At 35.0% G+C, this 19,957-nt stretch overlaps 2 long non-coding RNA genes across 7 annotated transcripts in view; both read left to right on the forward strand.

Annotated features, from left to right (window-relative positions):
* Positions 1-19,957, forward strand: part of LINC02718 (long intergenic non-protein coding RNA 2718) — a 376,384-nt gene that overhangs the window by 72,937 nt on the left and 283,490 nt on the right. For all 6 annotated transcript variants that reach the window (NR_187208.1, NR_187205.1, NR_187209.1 and 3 more), the window contains exon 4: positions 18,168-18,299. This is a non-coding gene — a long non-coding RNA (long intergenic non-protein coding RNA 2718). The remainder of the gene's footprint in view (positions 1-18,167; positions 18,300-19,957) is intronic.
* The window catches only part of LOC124902646 (uncharacterized), a 187,361-nt gene continuing 185,890 nt past the window's right edge, over positions 18,487-19,957 (forward strand). Inside the window, exon 1 of the long non-coding RNA XR_007062623.1 lies at positions 18,487-18,903. This is a non-coding gene — a long non-coding RNA (uncharacterized LOC124902646). The remainder of the gene's footprint in view (positions 18,904-19,957) is intronic.

The raw sequence follows: 19,957 nt of genomic DNA on the forward strand, positions 1-19,957 counted from the left end.
GACTCAGGGGGAGAATCTTAGATGGCATAATCTAATGCCTCTTAGACTTTCCCCTCTACAGTTCCCAATATACTTGTATGGTTTTATTATGTTGGGATTCCACTAGTACTATTATTTAGTTAACATTTTTCTTTAAATTTACTGTTTTTGTTTCAAATATGCTTATTCATAATTTAATAGTTTTGATTTGCTAGCTATGATTCTACTCATACATATTAAAATTAATACATCATTATTAAAATAAAAATGTATTTTCATGTGCCACTAGTTTTATACATGCCATACTTTAGGAAACACTGGTTACTCATACCCACCTAGTTAACAACTTTTAGGAAAGACTCACTAAAAATAAGAGGACCCATTTTTCTACCTTCCAGATTATTTAAAGACATGGAACTTAATTTTTTAAATTATTTGATGTTCATTTCTGTAAGAAGCCCATATGCCCCACTGAACAAATAATTCCTAACAATCAGTAAATTTATTATTTGAGCACTGGCATTTGTTGCTGAGAATATTGAAAACAAATGCAAATAAAGAAAATATTTTCTGGAAGTGGTATGAAAGCAAATAAAAATGGATTCTTGGTTATAAATTGTGATGTGAGGCAATTTCTTCATAATTTTCTTGGCAGATAAAGAAAGCACACGAAAGAGAAGAAATAGAAGAAATAGCTGAGAACACAGTAGAATTGCTAATGAACTTTTATGAAAATAAATGTATAATAATTAATTTTAAAGAGTGTAGATTTCTGCATGGAAACCTTACAGCTTCTTTCCCAACCTATTAGTAAATTCTATGCAATAAAATGCCTGGTGTGAGTGGTGTGTGTGTATGTATGTATGTATGTGTGTGTTTATGCACACATATGCCAATCAAGGCAAAGGTTGGGATCTATATATGGATTATGGTGGCCCACACAATAGATTTGTTACTCCCCACTTATTCACAATGCCTTTTCATGTTACCTTCACACATTATACAGGCACAGGGACAAGGCCTGCATGCTAAGGCTGACAGTATAAATGTAGGAAGAACATAAGGCCTCTAGGGAATCATGGAGGTGCCACACCAACCCTGAACTTCTGATTTTTGGACTTCTTATGAATTGGGATAAACAAACACAGATTATGTGAAACCATTATTTGTTGAGGTTTTACTTGCTAACAGCTAAATAAATTATTAACTGAGATAGAGAGTAAGATCATTCATCAGTGAACTTTTAAAATATGAGCCAGCCTTAACTCCGAGAATGTGGATTTTCAGAATTGGCATAAATTTTTTGGAGGTCACTGCATTTTATTTATTTGTAAGTTGACAAATAAAAATTGTATGTATTTATGGTGTACCACATAAAGTTTTGATATATGTATATACTGTGGAATGGCTAAATCAAGCTAATTAACAAATGCATTACTTCAAATACTTAATTTTCATGGTAAGAACACAAAATCTACCTTCTTAGTAATTTGCAAGTATAAAATGTGTTGTTATTAACCATAGTCATCATGCTGTGAAATGCATTACTTGAATTTATTCCTTCATCTAATTAAAATTTCGTATCCTTTGACCAACATTTTCTCACCCTCCCCCTACCTGCACAGGCCCTAGTAACCACCATTCCATTCTCAGTTTCTATGAGTTCAACATTTTTAGATTCCACATATAAGTCAGAGCAAGCAGTGTTCATCTTTCTATGTCTGGCTTATTTCATTTAACATGATGTCCTCCAAGTTCATCTATGTTGTCACAAATGACAGGATTTTCTTTTTTTTTAAGGCTGAATAAAATCCCATTGTGTATACATACCACATTTTCTTTACCCATTAATTCACTGATGGACACTTAGGTTGATTTCATATCTTGACTATTGTGAATAATGCTACCAGGAACATGAGAGTGCAGAGATCTCTTAGATACACTGACTTCATATCCTTTGAATATATAGCCAGTGGCGGGATTGCTGTGGCTTCTGGTATTTATATTTTTAATTTTTTGAGAAACCTCTGTACTGTTTTCCATTCTGGCTGTACTAATTTACATTCCCACCAAAGTGTACAAGGGTTCCCTTTTCTTTGCATCCTCATGAATCCTTGTTATCTTTCATCTTTTTTATAATGGCCATTCTAATAGTTGTGAGGTGATATCTCATTATGATTTAAATTTGCATTTCTCTGATAATTAGTCATGTTAAGCTTTTTTTCACATATATGTTGGTCATTTGTTTGCATTTCTTTGAAAGACTGTTTACTCAGAACCTTGGTCTAGCAGGTTATTGTACATTTTTAAGTCAAAAATGGGGCTAAAGGTAAAATCTGAAGTGTACCTTAGGATGCAGAGTAATACCAGCTACCATCTGCGTTGCACAATTTTTCTGTTTATTTCAGTTTTTTGGGACCAAATAAGAAACGATCATTTACTTCACTGGAATAGTGTAGAGGAATAGCAGGAAAAGAGAACTAATATTTTTAGCACTATGTGCCTTAAGTTTTAAGAGATGTTTTATACGCCATGTTTCATTTACTCTTCTCAACAACTAACTCTGTAATGGAAGCATAATTATCTTGTTTCTCAGAGATAAAAACTGATAGGTTAGAAAACTAGTACAAGATGATGTAATTTATAAGTGGTAGGTCTAACTGAATTCACCCTACTATAATTGTGGTTTTTGCAGTTATTTTTAATTAAAAATTACTTTTCATTAAAAGTGATTACAAAAACTGCAATTACTTTTGCACCACCTAATACATCTTTTGTCCCCAACAACCCACTGAAACTGTTGTCATCAAAGTCACCAGTGATCAGCATATCACTAAGCCTAGTGCTCAGTTCTCAAGACTCTTTTTGGCCTGGCAGTGATATTTCCCACAGCTGGATCACTCCACCTACCTTGACTTTCCATCACACTTAATTGATTTTTCTCTTTTCTCATTTGTTGCATTTTTTAGTCTCTTTTTTTTGGTTTCTTGTTATTTTTATAACTTCAAAATAGTGAAATTGACCCAAAGCTTGGTCCTTGGACCTTTTCTTTATTTTACTCTCCCACTCCTGGGGATGTCCTCCTTCCATCTTCTTGTTTTAAAGGCCATGTATAAGTTGATTATTCACCAATTTATATCTCTATTCTAAACTCTCCCTGAAACTTAAGCTGAAATAGGCAACTGGCTATTTGACAAATACAGCTTGTGTCTAATAAGCATCTCTTTCTCCTGCCCCTCCCATATTTTTCTCCATCTCAGTGAATGGTGATCCCTTCTTGCTAGTTCCTGAACTAATAAGATGCATCCTTGACTCTTTTTTTTGTTGTTGTTTATCTAATTTTCACTCCATTTATAAGACATAATAGTTCTTCCCTGAATGTACTTGCGTGAACTTAGGATTCAATCCACCACTTCTCCATCAGCAGTCTAGTCGCCACCTCTTGAGTGGACAATTACCATTGCCTCCTAGCTTATCTCACTGTTTTTGCCTTGACTGTCTATAGTTTATTCATCCTGCTACCTCCATGGTAATTACTTCAAAAAGTACCACCACTTACATACCTCTGTAGCCTTATTGGCAACATCAACACAAGGCTGTTTACTGTTTACCCTTGAACATGCCAGTTACTCTCAAAGACTTTGCCTCAACTGTTTAACATTTCCACAATTCTCTTGCCCCAGAGATACAGCTGGCTTACTTTCTATTTTCTTTTAGGTTTTTGCCTACCTTGGCAAAGTCTTCCCTGACTTTTAGTTAGTTAAAAAAAAATGCATTTTCTTTCATGCCCAACACTGGCACTGCTTATTCTTCTCTTTCCATGTTTTTCTTCCTATAATTCATCATCATCTGACATACTATAAATGTTAGCTACTTATCTACTTAACAAATATCTCCATGCACTGCGATGTAGGCCCCATGTTTGTACAGATTTTGTGTTTTGTTCAGTGTTTATTTCCAGAAGCATTTCTAACAGTGCCTGATCATGGCAGGTGCTCATTTGTATTTGATGAGTTAATTTACAAACTGTCATGGCATTCTAATCGGCCTGACCTCAACACTAATGCTCTACAAAGTAGGAAGTGTGATTCATTATCAACCTGTGTTAGAATCACCTGGGGTGTGTGTAAAATAAAGATTGATGGCCCATACTCAAGACCTATGTAATTTTGAATTTCTTGAAATGTGGTACAGGAATCTGCTTATTAAACTACAATTTTTAGTGATTCATATGCCTGCTGGGATGACAATCAGAATAACGTATTCAGAAATGGTTATAGGCAGGATTTTGGCAGCCATGATCTTCACCCCATTGTGTTACACCAGTGGACATGTTACATTACATGGTTAAGGGGGATTAAGGTGGCAGATAGAATTACATTTACTAATCAGCAGATTTTAACATAGTGAGATTATCCTGGATTATTTGGGTGGACCCATCATAAACATGGTCCTTAAAACAGGAAGTAGAACACAGAATAGGTAGAGAGAGATGAGATAGAAGAATGAGAAGTGTTTCAAATCACAAGAAGAATTTGGCCCATTGTTGCTGGCCAAATGGGAAGGTGGGGTCATAAGCCAAAGGATGTGGGCTGCCTGTAGCAACTGGGAACAGCCATCACCTGGTTCTAGGAAATGGGACCTCAGTCCTACAACTGCACAGAATCAAATTCTAAGTGAGCAGGAAATGAAATGATTTTCTTTTAAAGGCTTCAGAAAGGAACAGTCTTGCTGAATCTTGATTTTAGACAAGTGAGATCTACTAATATTCTGACCTACAGAACTGAAAGATAATAAATTTGTATCATTTAAACTACTAAATTTGTGATGATTTGTTATAGCAGTGATTCAAAACTCATACATAAATTATGGAAAACATATTTCGTAGTATTTTGTTGATCATTATGGCCTTAATCAGTTGTAGCCTCAGTTTTTAGGGGGATTTTTCTCTTTTTTGTTTCTCTGCTGAAAATCTAGTGTAGGATCCTCAGAAAGATTAAATGACATCTAACATGATCTAATAAGATGATTGATCCAGTTTTCTTTAGCATTTACTGATTGGGTGGAGCAAGATGAGGTCAATCTGGAAATCGGCATTTTACCTTTGGTTTGTTTCATTAACAATGAAGAAATTTTAAATAGAAGAGTGAAATGATCAGATATTGACAACTGTCTGAATATTGGCTTACAGGAACCAAAACTGGGATTATTAATACAAATTTATTTAATATTTTATTCTTTTAATCTGTTGAAACTTTAAAAACATATCCTCTAATGTGTATATTTATTAAGCTTCCATGGAGGACAAAAGACAAAAAATAGAGACCACACTTCAAAAAGCTGTATAGTTTGCATGGCTTGCAACTCTAGGGCATGTCATCACACTGACTTCTTTTTAAATAAAGTTGTCTGTAGCCGTACAATACACTATGTGGCTGAACATGACAGCCCTGGAAGCTCCACGTATGACTGTGGTGCTTCTATCTTTATTTATGACAGAAAGAAAAAGAGATAGCTTGTTGCTGTGATTTGAATGTCTCCTTCAAAGCTCATGTTGAAATTTAATTGCCAACGTAACAGTATTAAGAGAAGGACCCTGTAAGAAATGATTAGGTAATGAAAGCTACCCTCTCGTGAGTAAAATAATGCCATTATTGCATGCTCCCTTGTCCTTCTGCCATGGGATAATGCAGCAAGAAGGCCTTCACCAGATGCTGGTGCCATGCTCTCAGGCTTCCCAGCCTCCAGACCTGTGGAATAAATTTCTTTTCTTTGTCAGTTACCCAGTCCGTAGTATTCTTTTATAGCAGCAGAAAGCAGACTAGACACTTGACAAGAAGAATGACCCCTGGCCATGCACGGTGGCTCACGCCTGTAATCCCAGCACTTTGGGAGGCCAAGGCAGGCAGATCACAAGGTCAGGAGATAGAGACAATCCTGGCTAACATGGTGAAACCCCCGTCTGTACTAAAAATACAAAAAAATTAGTCGGGCATGCTGGCGGGTGCCTGTAGTCCCAGCTACTTGGGAGGCTGAGGCAGGAGAATGGCGTGAACCCAGGAGGTGGAGCTTGCAGTGAGCAAAGATCACGCCACTGCACTCCAGTCTGGGTGTCAGAGGAAGACTCCATCTCAAAAAAATAAAAATAAATAAAAAGAAGAAAGACCACTAAGGTGGGCCATTTGAGTACTTTTTCAACACTAACTACATTTCTTATTGACTTTGGATAAATCACTTTGTTAGTCACAACCTTAGCCTTTATAAAGCATATTATTGGGTTATATAATCACCAATATTCCTTCTAACTATAAAATTTAATGATAAATGATGTCTATTTTGAGACTTTCTAGTATTTCTTTTCACTAATAACCAATTCTTCATTCTTCCCACTCTGCACATGTTTGTAGATTTCAATAAGTGTATGACTCTTAAATTCCGGTTAAAAAATTTTTCAAGGATCAACAAAATTGATACACCGCTAGCAAGACTAATAAAGAAGAAAAGAGAGAAGAATCGAATAGACACAATAAAAAATGATAAAGGGGATATCACCAGTAATCCCACAGAAATACAAAGTACCATCAGAGAATACTACAAACACCTCTACACAAATAAACTAGAAAATCTAGAAGAAATGGATAAATTCCTCGACACATACACCCTCCCAAGACTAAACCAGGAAGAAGTTGAATCTCTGAATAGACCAATAACAGGCTCTGAAATTATGGCAATAATCAATAGCTTACCAACCAAAAAGAGTCCAGGACCAGATGGATTCACAGCCAAATTCTACCAGAGGTACAAGGAGGAACTGGTACCATTCCTTCTGAAACTATTCCAATCAATAGAAAAAGAGGGAATCCTCCCTAACTCATTTTATGAGGCCAGCATCATCCTGATACCAAAGCCGGGCAGAGACACAACCAAAAATGAGAATTTTAGACCAATATCTTTGATGAACATTGATGCAAAAATCCTCAATAAAATACTGGCAAACCGAATCCAGCAACACATCAAAAAGCTTATCCACCATGATCAAGTGGGCTTCATCCCTGGGATGCAAGGCTGGTTCAATATACGCAAATCAATAAATGTAATCCAGCATATAAGCAGAACCAAAGACAAAAACCACATGATTATCTCAATAGATGCAGAAAAGGCCTTTGACAAAATTCAACAACCCTTCATGCTAAAAACTCTCAATAAATTAGGTATTGATGGGACATATCTCAAAATAATAAGAGCTATCTATGACAAACCCACAGCCAATATCATACTGAATGAGCAAAATCTGGAAGCATCCCCTTTGAAAACCAGCACAAGACAGGGATGCCCTCTCTCACCACTCCTATTCAACATAGTGTTGGAAGTTCTGGCCAGGGCAATTAGGCAGGAGAAGGAAATAAAGGGTATTCAATTAGGAAAAGAGGAAGTCAAATTGTCCCTGTTTGCAGATGACATGATTGTATATCTAGAAAACCCCATTGTCTCAGCCCAAAATCTCATTAAGCTGATAAGCAACTTCAGCAAAGTCTCAGGATACAAAATCAATATACAAAAATCACAAGCATTCTTATACACCAATAACAGACAAACAGACAGCCAAATCATGAGTGAACTCCCATTCACAATTGCTTCAAAGGGAATAAAATACCTAGGAATCCAACTTACAAGGGATGTGAAGGACCTCTTCAAGGAGAGGTCCTTGAACCACTGCTCAATGAAATAAAAGAGGATACAAACAAATGGAAGAACATTCCATGCTCATGGGTAGGAAGAATCAATATCGTGAAAATGGCCATACTGCCCAAGGTAATTTATAGATTCAATGCCATCCCCATCAAGCTACCAATGACTTTCTTCACAGAATTGGAAAAAACTACTTTAAAGTTCATATGGAACCAAAAAAGAGCCCTCATCGCCAAGTCAATCCTAAGCCAAAAGAACAAAGCTGGAGGCATCACGCTACCTGACTTCAAACTATACTACAAGGCTACAGTAACCAAAACAGCATGGTACTGGTACCAAAACAGAGATATAGATCAATGGAACAGAACAGAGCCCTCAGAAATAACGCTGCATATCTACAACTATCTCATCTTTGACAAACCTGAGAAAAACAAGCAATGGGGAAAGGATTCCCTATTTAATAAATGGTGCTGGGAAAACTGGCTAGCCATATGTAGAAAGCTGAAACTGGATCCCTTCCTTACACCTTATACAAAAATTAATTCGAGATGGATTAAAGACTTAAACGTTAGACCTAAAACCATAAAAACCCTAGAAGAAAACCTAGGCATTACCATTCAGGACATAGGCATGGGCAAGGACTACATGTCTAAAACACCAAAAGCAATGGCAACAAAAGCCAAAATTGACAAATGGGATCTAATTAAACTCAAGAGCTTCTGCACAGCAAAAGAAACTACCATCAGAGTGAACAGGCAACCTACAAAATGGGAGAAAATTTTCGCAACCTACTCATCTGACAAAGGGCTAATATCCAGAATCTACAATGAACTCAAACAAATTTACAAGAAAAAAACAAACAACCCCATCAAAAAGTGGGTGAAGGACATGAACAGACACTTCTCAAAAGAAGACATTTATGCAGCCAAAAAACACATGAAAAAATGCTCACCATCACTGGCCATCAGAGAAATGCAAATCAAAACCACAATGAGATACCATCTCACACCAGTTAGAATGGCAATCATTAAAAAGTCAGGAAACAACAGGTGCTGGAGAGGATGTGGAGAAATAGGAACACTTTTACACTGTTGGTGGGACTGTAAACTAGTTCAACCACTGTGGAAGTCAGTGTGGCGATTCCTCAGGGATCTAGAACTAGAAATACCATTTGATCCAGCCATCCCATTACTGGGTATATACACAAAGGACTATAAATCATGCTGCTATAAAGACACATGCACACGTATGTTTATTGCGGCACTATTCACAATAGCAAAGACTTGGAACCAACCCAAATGTCCAACAATGATAGACTGGATTAGGAAAATGTGGCACATATACACCATGGAATACTATGCAGCCATAAAAAATGATGAGTTCATGTCCTTTGTAGGGACATGGATGATATTGGAAATCATCGTTCTCAGTAAACTATCGCAAGAACAAAAAACCAAACACAGCATGTTCTCACTCATGTGGGAATTGAACAATGAGAACACATGGACACAGGAAGGGGAACATCACATTCTGGGGACTGTTGTGGGGTGAGGGGAGGTGGGAGGGATGGCATTGGGAGATATACCTAATGCTAAATGACGAGTTGATGGGTGCAGCACACCAGCATGGCACGTGTATACATATGTAACTAACCTGCACATTGTGCACATGTACCCTAAAACTTAAAGTATAATAATAATAAAATTAAAAAAAAATTCTCAATTGAGTTTATGATCAGTATTTTTTACTGAGCAAATTATCACTCAATAAAGAAGACTTTAAAAAAATTTTTTTTCTTTGTGGATATACATATGACTAATAAAATGTATATTGTGGAATAAGCAATTTTTAGTCACTTTAAATACCATGAAAAATTTATAAAAACTTGATGGGAACGTCATTTTCTATTTTTGAAGTAATTACCGAAGTTATAAAGATGTCATTGTCCCCAATTTTGTACATGAAATTATATACATGATGAATGTATGAATATTTATAAAATTTCAAGTGCAGTCATGACTGGCTAGAATAACAAATTATTTTATTTTTCTTATTGTATTCTCTAATAAATGCATAATTATTTTAGAATCAGAAAAAAACACATACGATTTTAATAAAAATATCCTTAAAAAGCATCATTATGTCATTATTAACTAACACTCAAAGAAAAATTGCATTTGCAATATGTCGCATGGCAACATCTCACTAAGATGCTCAAAAGAGTAGTAGAATGAAAACTTGCAAGGCTAATTATATACTCCAAACCAAGATATAAAAGGTAAATTTTACCAACAAATCAAAAAGGATGAATGCAGGATTCGTAACAAACCTTTAACTTGCTCTAAGACAGGTAAAGAAAAAACAGATAGAAAATATAATAGTAATTAATATATTAGAAAGACATTTATTTTGTGAAATATTATGACAATAATTGTAGCATACCTAAAGATGCTATACAGCAGCAAAGACTGCTAACTATTGTCTCTAAATTATTTTGTACTTAATTCATCAGAAAGTTATATAAATAAAAAATTTTACAATTAATGGTATATAATTGTAAGAGCATTGTTAAAATATAATGTAGTCAAATTCAGAAGTTTTAAGTGTACAATTAATTCAATGAGTTTTGACAAATATTCATAGTTATACAACCACTACCACAATCAAGATATATAACATTTCCATCACTTGAAATCACCCCTTTGCAACCGATCCCCTTCCACATTCCTCAGTCTAGTAGCCACCAATCTTCTTTCTGCCTCTATAATTTTACCATAATTAATCCATTAATCTCATACCAACAGTTCGTTCCTTGTTTAAATCATTTTATGATGTTAAATTGGGTGAATAAAGAACACTTTGTGTTTTCATTCACCAGATTTTACTAAATAAATCTCATATGAACATTTGAGAACAATTCTTTACATGGATATGTTTTGCATGACCAAAAGTCTAGGCACCCCATGGTTCAGTCAAGTCAATACATAAAATTAATCATTACACCTATGTTAAGTATCAATTTACCATATATATGTTTGTATATTTCTAGACCCTATATTCTGTTCTACTGGATATGTCTATTCTTACACAAATACCACACTTAACCATTTTAGTTTTATAATTAATTTAAAAATCAGATAATGCAAGTCTTTTGACTCTGTTCTTTTTCAAAATTATTTTGGCTGACCTCGATCCTTGCATTTTCATATAAATTTTACATCAGCTTTTTAATTTCCACCAAAAGAAGGCCTTGTGAATGGGACTCCACTAAATTCACAGACAGACTTTGAAAATATTAACTGCTTAATTATATGGAGTCTTCCTTCCTATAGATGAAATGGTTTATCTCTCCATTTATTTTGTTCTTTCATTCTACGGTGATTTATTGTTTCAAAGTACAGGTCTTAAACATATTTAGTTAAACTTATTTTAAGCATTTTACACTTTTGATGCTAATGTAAAATGTAGGTTTCTTAAAATGTCAATTTTCAATTGTTCATTGCTACCATATAATATACAATTTAAACAGTTATTATTGTACCTAGGGGCATTGTGTCTTGCTAAACTCATTTATTAGTTTTAGCAGCTTTTATTTTAGTTTATTTTGGATAGTCTACAAATGTGATTCCAAACATAGTTTATAAGTAAGAAATGACATGAGAAATATTTAAAAATTGAGAGAAAATTCTCTGAAAATGTTTTTCTGAAGTACCAAAAAAGAATAGTTATTTTCTTAAAATTGGATGGATATCCTATTGTGTAAGAGAAACCTTCGAATGACATTTATTGAGACAAGACAGAAAAAGTGAAGTTCATCTTAGTGTTGTAAAAAGCAATGAATTTAATTTATGGTGTGTAAGAATTGAAGGTATAGACATTTTACAATAAATATCTTAGGGGTAGAAAATTCTAATTTTCCAAATGTTAATTTTTTCAAACAAAGTATTATTTGTAGATACCTATTTACCAAAATGTATACCTTCTTTCTTCTACAGATAGTTTGTGTTTACCATAGCCTGATAAATATGTTTAAAGTTAGGTATTTCTAGTCAAAATCAAAATAATAACACAGACTATTTTCATAACAGTTTCAGTAGAGGACCAAAGAAAATTTTATTTTCACAAATACTTTTTGCAATATTTATAAGTACATTGCCTATAGTCTCACTGTGCCTACCTCCATTTTCTTAAATTCTTTGACAATCTGATATTTTTATTGATACTTATTGTTTTATTTTATTTATTCATCTATGTATTACTCAAACATTTATACTGGAATGAAAAACTTCAAAAATATGTTAAACAAATTGGTTAATTAAAATTTTAAAAATTATATGAGGACAATTGTGCATCCAAAATGCTTATTTCTACTAATGGCAAGAAATATGTCATTGATAAATATCAATATAATTGACAATTTTTATTAAATTTTTGTTTGGTGTTGAGGTCTATCTGAACTTCCCCCAACTGATAAAAGATGACTATAATAAAATCTTTGTACAGGAATATTTTGACAATTCAATTGATATATTCCACTGATGAATTAATAAGATGGTAATAAATATAACTGTGAGATTTACCCAGAGTAAAAAAATATCCAAGGAGTCCACAGGATCCTTAATGAGGGAGTAGAGCCATAATCCCTAGGGACTATAGAGATTGAGAGAGTAAATCTAAAAACAAAAATTAATATTAATAATGGATTTGAGGGGTGCCTCTTTGGGTACCCATGTATCATATTTCATTGCAGCTGGTCATTGTGATGTATGATAAGTTGAATTTTGACTCAATGTCTTTTACCAGGTTTTAGAGAGATATCAATTATCTTAAAACCACTGGAAAGATTCCTTTTTACATATAGACTCATGCTGAGTTCTAAAATCCCAGAGAAGAGTAGAGTACACAGAGGTCTAAACATAGCGACAAGGGCAGTGCTAGTAGATAAGTTTTAATCTCTCCAAAACTTTGTGATTAAAGTGTTTGGGATTCTTTACCCTTGCCCCTGTCAACCTGAATAACAATGGAGAAAATTGCTTTATTAAAAAATGGAGTTTGTTTGGGAATGAATCACGGATTGTAATCAGAGAATATGTGTGCCATGGCAGCCCATGGAGGGGTATGAGTATACCCAGAAAAGTAAAGTTAGGGTTTTTAAAGGCAAAATAAGGAAAGCTATACAAAATAAGGGTTGTTTTGAAATAATTATTCATAGCTGCAAGGATAAATAACAAGGATGGCATTGGTCCAAGGTTGAATAGGAAGTTGTTGGGCAGAAGTCCTCCTAGAAGTGTTCTTTGTTTAAAGTTCAGGTGGTCCTTCTGCAAGGTTGTGGTTTACAGTGAGTCTTTGTAATTGCATTTATCAAAGGTGCATGACAGTCCCTCTTTTCTGGTCCTGATTACTTTTGCTAGGATTTTGCATAAGTGACTCCATTTTTATTCTGACAGCTTTCACACTACCGTGTGACAATTGTTAGGTTTAGTTTTACTGATCTCCTCTCTCATTTAGCACTCCCCTCATTATGATATGTGTTTTTATTTTGTGTGTGTGTATGTGTGTGTGTGCACATGTGATTTTCCTGTTAGGGCAAGCAATACTCATGTGTCTCAGTTAGCTATTGCTAAAATGGTGTTGCTAACAAACCACCACAAGACACATTGGTTTAAAACAAAATTGATTTATCTTTATAAGCATGCAGGTCAGTTGGGGCAGCTCTGTTCAGCTCAGAGGAGCTCACTCATGGTTTCTGCAGGTCAGCTGGTGCAGGGGTGGGATGGTGGGGTGAAGTGAATGGCTTTCTGATCTGCGTTAGTTTCAGCTGGGAGGCTTTGCTTCAAGCATCTGACCTGAAGGTGGTCCTCTTATGTCTCTAATACTCTTTTGCACCAGTGGCCAGTGGGGAAGGTTATTATCATGGTAATTGCGGAAGTATAAGACTGCAGGTGGAAACATTCAAGGGTTTTCAACGCCTACATTCAGAACTAGCACATTGTTATATCTGCCTCTTTGCACTGACCAACCCAAGGCATTGGCCAAGTCCAAAGCTACTAATCATGCAAGTACTCTTTGCCTTTGGTTAGACCTTGGCAAGGGTTTTACTCCGTAACTTCCTTCTCAAATCCACCCTGCTAGGTCTCAGTTTTTGCCAGCTATAAAGTGGGAGAATTAAGCTGGGTGGACTGAAGAGTCATTTGATTGTTATGATTTTAATTAATCAGATATAAAAGAGCATAATTTAGTTATGCTATTTTGCTGACCTGCACTAATATCAAAAGCACTATTTACCAAAGAGTAAATTAGGAAGAAAATAAATTATTAAAATATTTTGATCATCAGTTTATTTCAGTCTACTGCTGCAATCTTTCTTTATATTTTTGTTTAATAATTAACAAATAAGACATGACATACCTGTGCTGCACCTGCCACGGATGTCTCCATTGTGTGCAGCTGGAACATATTGTTCATTCAGCTGCTCTATGCAACTGCCAAGAATAAAAGGACATATAGGGACAGAAATGATTCTCTTTGACTCTAAGTATGGTTTATGCCTTTCATTTTGCCTTCTATCTCCAAACACGAGTATGTTTCACAGCTGGAATATGGTTTTTCTACAGAAAGAATATGTTGAAACCTCTATCCTATGGCTCCTGCCATCTGTACTTTATCCTTCTCTACCAAAAGCGTTCATGTGAGGCTGCCTTTTTGGTTTTGTCCAGTTAGAAACTCTGATATGACATTCTGGTATTCATAAGTTTTCTTTTATTGTATTTTAAAAAATGGTTTTAGTTGTTGATATCTGCGAGTGTTATAAATCAGGAGAACAAAAACCAAAAATATTTAGAGAGAATGAGATAAAAGTGAAACAATTAGGAGGGAGAGAGCCAGTTTTATTCCCTTAGGAGCAAGTGAACCTGGAAAATGTAAGAAACTGATCGTCAGTTTCCTTTTCCAAATAAAATAAAATAAAATAAAGAATATAATACCTACCTCAGACAGTGGTTGTTCAGGAAAATTGATATGAAGAATGGAAAGGTCACAATGGAAGCTCGATAATTATTCATTTCCTTTCTTTTGTGAGGGGTCATCACTAACACAACTGGACAATACTTAGCCCCATTTAGCTTTAGCTTCTGACCTAATGGGTCTCTAGACCAGTGACCTAAAGTAACCCAAGCTCAGACGTCTCACCAGGTAGTATAGAATCACATGCTGGACTAGGGCTGCTTCCATTTTAGACCTAAAATGGCTCTTAAAGCTTTATGATTTCTTGATTTGCCTAACAAGTACAAGCTCTGGGAATATAAATTACTAAAGCATAATAACTAGAGTCATAAAGATAAACTATTTTATCAGCTACAGGACTAATAGAGAGAGAGAGAGAAAAAACATAATAACTGAGTGTAACTGGACATTTAGACAATGGACATTCAGACAGAATACTGGGTTATCAGAGTCTTTATTCATGAATGTATGCATATATTTAATTGCAGTCTTCTGTTCTGGATTTTAGTCTTTTTATTTCACAAAGTTTGACTAATCTTTGTATATCAGTTATCACTTTCACATGTATAAGACACTCTTCACAAACCTCTGGGAATGAATTTTCTTCATTCTTTCTCTTAATTTATAGTATGTTGAGATAGAGCTCGAATAAAAGTAGCTAAAATTGTGTTTTATCCATTCATTCATTTAGGCTACTTAGTGTTTCATGGCTTTATTTTGCTGTCAGATGTGCTATCGCATATATATTATCATGGGCAAATATTTCTTTAAGTCAATTTTGTATATAATAAATTGCATTATTTAAATCTATTTACTTTTTTACTAAAAATTTCTGTCTTGTCTGTGGGTCTCCTAAGACACTCTTTGTTAAAGATTTATTTAAAGGTAAACTGCTATAGTGATCATAATTATCTTAGTAGAGAATAACCTCCTGTGTGCAGGTTTATAAATTATTCACCTATATATATTCTAAATGGAAGCACTTTCTTTTATGATTGAGGAAAGAAATATAGCAAATTGAAGACTACTGCAAAACAGAGAGAAACCCTTTCATAACTTTGCTATCCTGATGACATTAATTTTCACTCACAGATGAAAGTTGATTTCTAATCCACATGCCTATGCATTTGATAGTTGTAGTCATTATTTCCACACCATTTCTGATTTTGAAATCATATTTCTAATTTTGAAGCCATATTATAAGCAGCTCTACTATATCTTGAAAGAGTACATAATTATTCATGCTTATGTCGTATTTTTTGATATAGTTTAGCAAATGTTTTTTACTGAGCATATATTTGACTGTCTAATTTTCTTTCTTTTTTAAGACGGAGTCTTGCTCTGTCACCAGGCTGGAGTGCAGTGGCGCGATCTCGGCTCACTGCAACCTCTGTCTCCCTGGTTCAAGTAATTCTCCTGCCTCAGCCTCCTGAGTAGCTTGGACTACAGGCGCCCGCCACCATGCCTGGCTAATTTTGTATTTTTAGTAGAGACGGGGTTTCACCATGTTGGCCAGGATGGTCTCGATCTCTTGACATCATGATCTGCCCACCTTGGCCTCCCAAAGTGCTGGGATTACAGGTGTGAGCCACCATGCCTCACCTAATTTTCTTCATTCATTCTTTCTTTTCTGTTTTTTTCTTTCTTCCTTCTTTTTCTCCTTCCTTCCTTTTATGTATTTACAGTTCTACTATTATAAGTGATTTGCAAATGAAATACTTTTACTTTTTTGTTATACTTCTGTAAATTATTCCCATATGAAGTATTCTTGAGAGTGGAATTACAGCTTCAAAGAGTTTGCTAAGAGATTAGATCTGAAGTATTTTTACCACCAAATAAATAAATAAATGTAACTGTGAAAGATGAGGGATGTGCTAATTAGCTTTACTGTGGTAATCATTTCACTATATATATATATATATATGTATGTATACACATACACATATATATGTATTTCTAATAATCACATAATATACCTTATACACCTTACATAAATACATTTATTTTGCCAGTTACACCTCAATAAAGCTGGGAAGAAAGAGTTTGAATGCCCACATGATGGTTTCTTTATTCTGCCATATTGTTCTCTCACTTGACAATAGTGCTTTAAAAAGTTTTGAATTTGAAGAGGCCAATAAATATACAAAAATACTCTTGAATTTTTTATATAATGTGTAAATCCAACCCACATGTAAATGTATGAGAAAGGTACAAAAATGCTTGCCTTTGTATCTGAATATTATTTCAATTTTTGCATTATCATTTGGTATTATATTATTGTTTATATTAACAGCTGGAAAAATATTTAAGCCCTGGAGCCATTTGCAATGGTTATCTTTTATTTTTTGTGAACTGATTTACCGATTTGGAAAAAAAATCCTTAGTCTAAAATTGTGCTTTCAATACTCTACTACCTACAAAGACTATATTCTCTTCAAAGATCTTTATTTTTATAGACTATGTTATAATGAAATTGACTCTTTTTTGTGTATAGTTCTGTAATGCCTAAGATTCTTGCCTGGCCATGCCAAAGAATTGGTGTGGCAGCTGATCACGATGAGTGATAGAGACATGGACAGAGTGCAAGAAAAAGTTGTAGGCTTTATTGAGCAGAGTGAAAGTACAAAGCTTCCACAGCATGGAAGGGGTCCTGAATGGGTAGCCACTGTTGGTTTTGGGTGATTGCCTTTTAAACTCTTTAAGGCAGGAAATACGTGTGGCAGGAAGATGTTACCAGAGCGAGAAACAAAGGCAGTAAATTATTTTGTGACATGTCTTAGATTTTGAGGAAAACCGGAATTGCAACTTAGGTTTTATCTACTTTCTGACCTTGCAGCGGCATGGCAAAGGAGACAGGATCTTACAGGACCTTACAAAGTATGTTTACAAGGAATTGGAATTGGGAGTATAGATAAGGTCTGCTGGTTACAGAAAAACGGGTAGTTAACATTTCTTTTACTTTAGTTTCGGTGAGGGGAAAGGGAGAGAGGGAGAGAGGACACAGGGAAACTTACAGTAAAATTTTCGCTGTTTATAGCTTTCTTGGGGAAGAAAACACATGCACAAATCCTGGTGTTAGGAATATTTTAAGCATATATCTTCAATATTATTCATCCAGGACTGAAGTAAGTCCTGAAGTAGGAAATGAGTGCGTTTCACAGCTTTCTGAGCCCCTGCAGGACCCAGGAGGCCCAGCTGGTACCTCCTCTCAGTTCTATGGCTTTCAACACATATATAGATCTGAGTAGCCAACACCACGATTGAAATAGAGAAAAATTTCATCACCTCTCCAAATTCCCTTTTGCAATACCTTTCCAAGTACACCCTCCTTCCAATTTTAACTTCTGATAATGACTGAGGGGTTCTCTAGCACTATAGTTTTGTTATTGCCAAAAAAAATTATATAAATGAAACCATCTATTATGTAATCTTTAAGACCGGCTTCTTTTCTTAAACAATATTTTACTTCACTTTGCTTTCTTTTTATTTTATTTTAGAGACAGAGTCTTGCTCTGTTGCCCAGAATGGAATGCAGTAGCACAATCCTAACTAATCGTAACCTTGAACTCCTGGGTTCAAGCGATCCTCCTGCCTCAGCCTCCTCAGTATAGGACTACAGGCGTGCCCAGGTAAGGCTGGCTTCTTTTACTCTATTACGTTTTTTTTTTTAGTTTTGTCTGCTCATCATTTGTCTGTTTCCCCTTTCTATTTTCCTTTGGGTTATTTGAACACCTTTAATATTTCATTTAATTTATTATTACTACTTTTGACATATATTTTTATATAATTTTATGGCATGTCTGTTGGCAACAACTTCTTCATTTTCTTTCATTTAGCAATGTTTTTATTTCATCTTCATTCTTGATGGATATTTTCACTGGATAAAGAATTCTGGACTGATAGCTTTTTTATTTCAGTGCTTTAAAAATGTTTTTCCACTTCACTCTGGTTTCTACAATCTCTGATGAGAAATTCTCAGTCATTTGAATAGTTGTTTTCCTACAAGCAGGGTTTTTCAGCCTTAGCAGCACTGATATTTGGGGCCAGAAATTCTTGTGGGAGGCTTTCTTGTACAATGCAGGAAACTTAGAGGCATTCATTGCTTCTGCCCACTAGATGTCAGTAGCACCTATCCCCGGCCATCACAATAAAACATGTCTCTAGACTTTGCTAGATGTCCCTGGGTTGTTTCAGAAGACAAAATCAGACCCGTTGAGAATCACTGCTACAGAGGTAATGTGTCCATTTTCTTTGGCTACTTTAAACATTATTTTTTCTTTTTAGTTTTTAGCAGTTTGATTGTGATGTGTCTGTATATAGATTATTTTGGTTTCTCTTGTTTGGGGTTACTGAGCTTTTTAAAATTTTTCTTGTTTCCTGTCAAACTTAGAAAATATTCGCACATTATTTAAAAGAAAAATTTTTTGCACATCGTATTTTCTTTTCTCATTCTGAGACCTCAATGCGTGTTAAAAGTTTTGTTACTATCTTGCAAGTTCCTGAATCTCTTTTTATTCTCACTTTTTTTTTTTTCTGTTGTTCAGATTGGATAATTTCTATTCATCTGTCTTCAAGCTCATAGGTTTTTTGCTCTGAAATCTGCATTCTGCCTTCAAGGCCATTCAGTGAGTTTTTACATTTCAGTTATTGTATTTACTGTTTTAAAATTTTCATTTAGTTCTTTATATCTAAAATTTATTACTGATATTTTTAATGTATCCATTTATTTCAAGGGTTTGAAATCCTTAATTCCATTTATTTATTTATTTATTTAGAGATGGAATATCGCTCTGTCCCCCAGGCTGGAGTGCAGTGGTGCGATCTCGGCTCATCGCAACCTCCACCTCCTGGGTTCAAGTGATTCTTCTGTCTCAGCCTCCCGAGTAGCTGGGACTACAGGCATGCACCACCAGGCCTGGCTCATTTTTGTTTTTTAAGTAGAGATGGGGTTTCACTATGTTGACCAGGCTGGTCTCAAACTCCTCACCTCAAGTGATATGCCTCCCTCAGCCTCCCAAAGTGCTGGAATTATGGGCATGAGCCACTGCTCCTGGCCCTTGAAGTCCTTCATTCTTAGAGCATTTTTCTAAAGCAAATTTGAAGTCTTTTTCCTGATAATTCTAACATTTTGTCACCTAGACATTGGTTTCTGTTAATTGCCTTTTTCATGCGAGTCGTGATTTTCCTGGCTGTGGGTATGCTAAGTGATCTTGGCTTGTTTCTTGGAAATTTTAAACATGATATGAAACTTGTTTTTTTTGTGATTTGTATGTATTTTTTTTTTTCA

The sequence above is a fragment of the Homo sapiens genome, chromosome 11, assembly GCF_000001405.40.
Source record: "Homo sapiens chromosome 11, GRCh38.p14 Primary Assembly".
Lineage (NCBI taxonomy): Eukaryota > Metazoa > Chordata > Mammalia > Primates > Hominidae > Homo > Homo sapiens.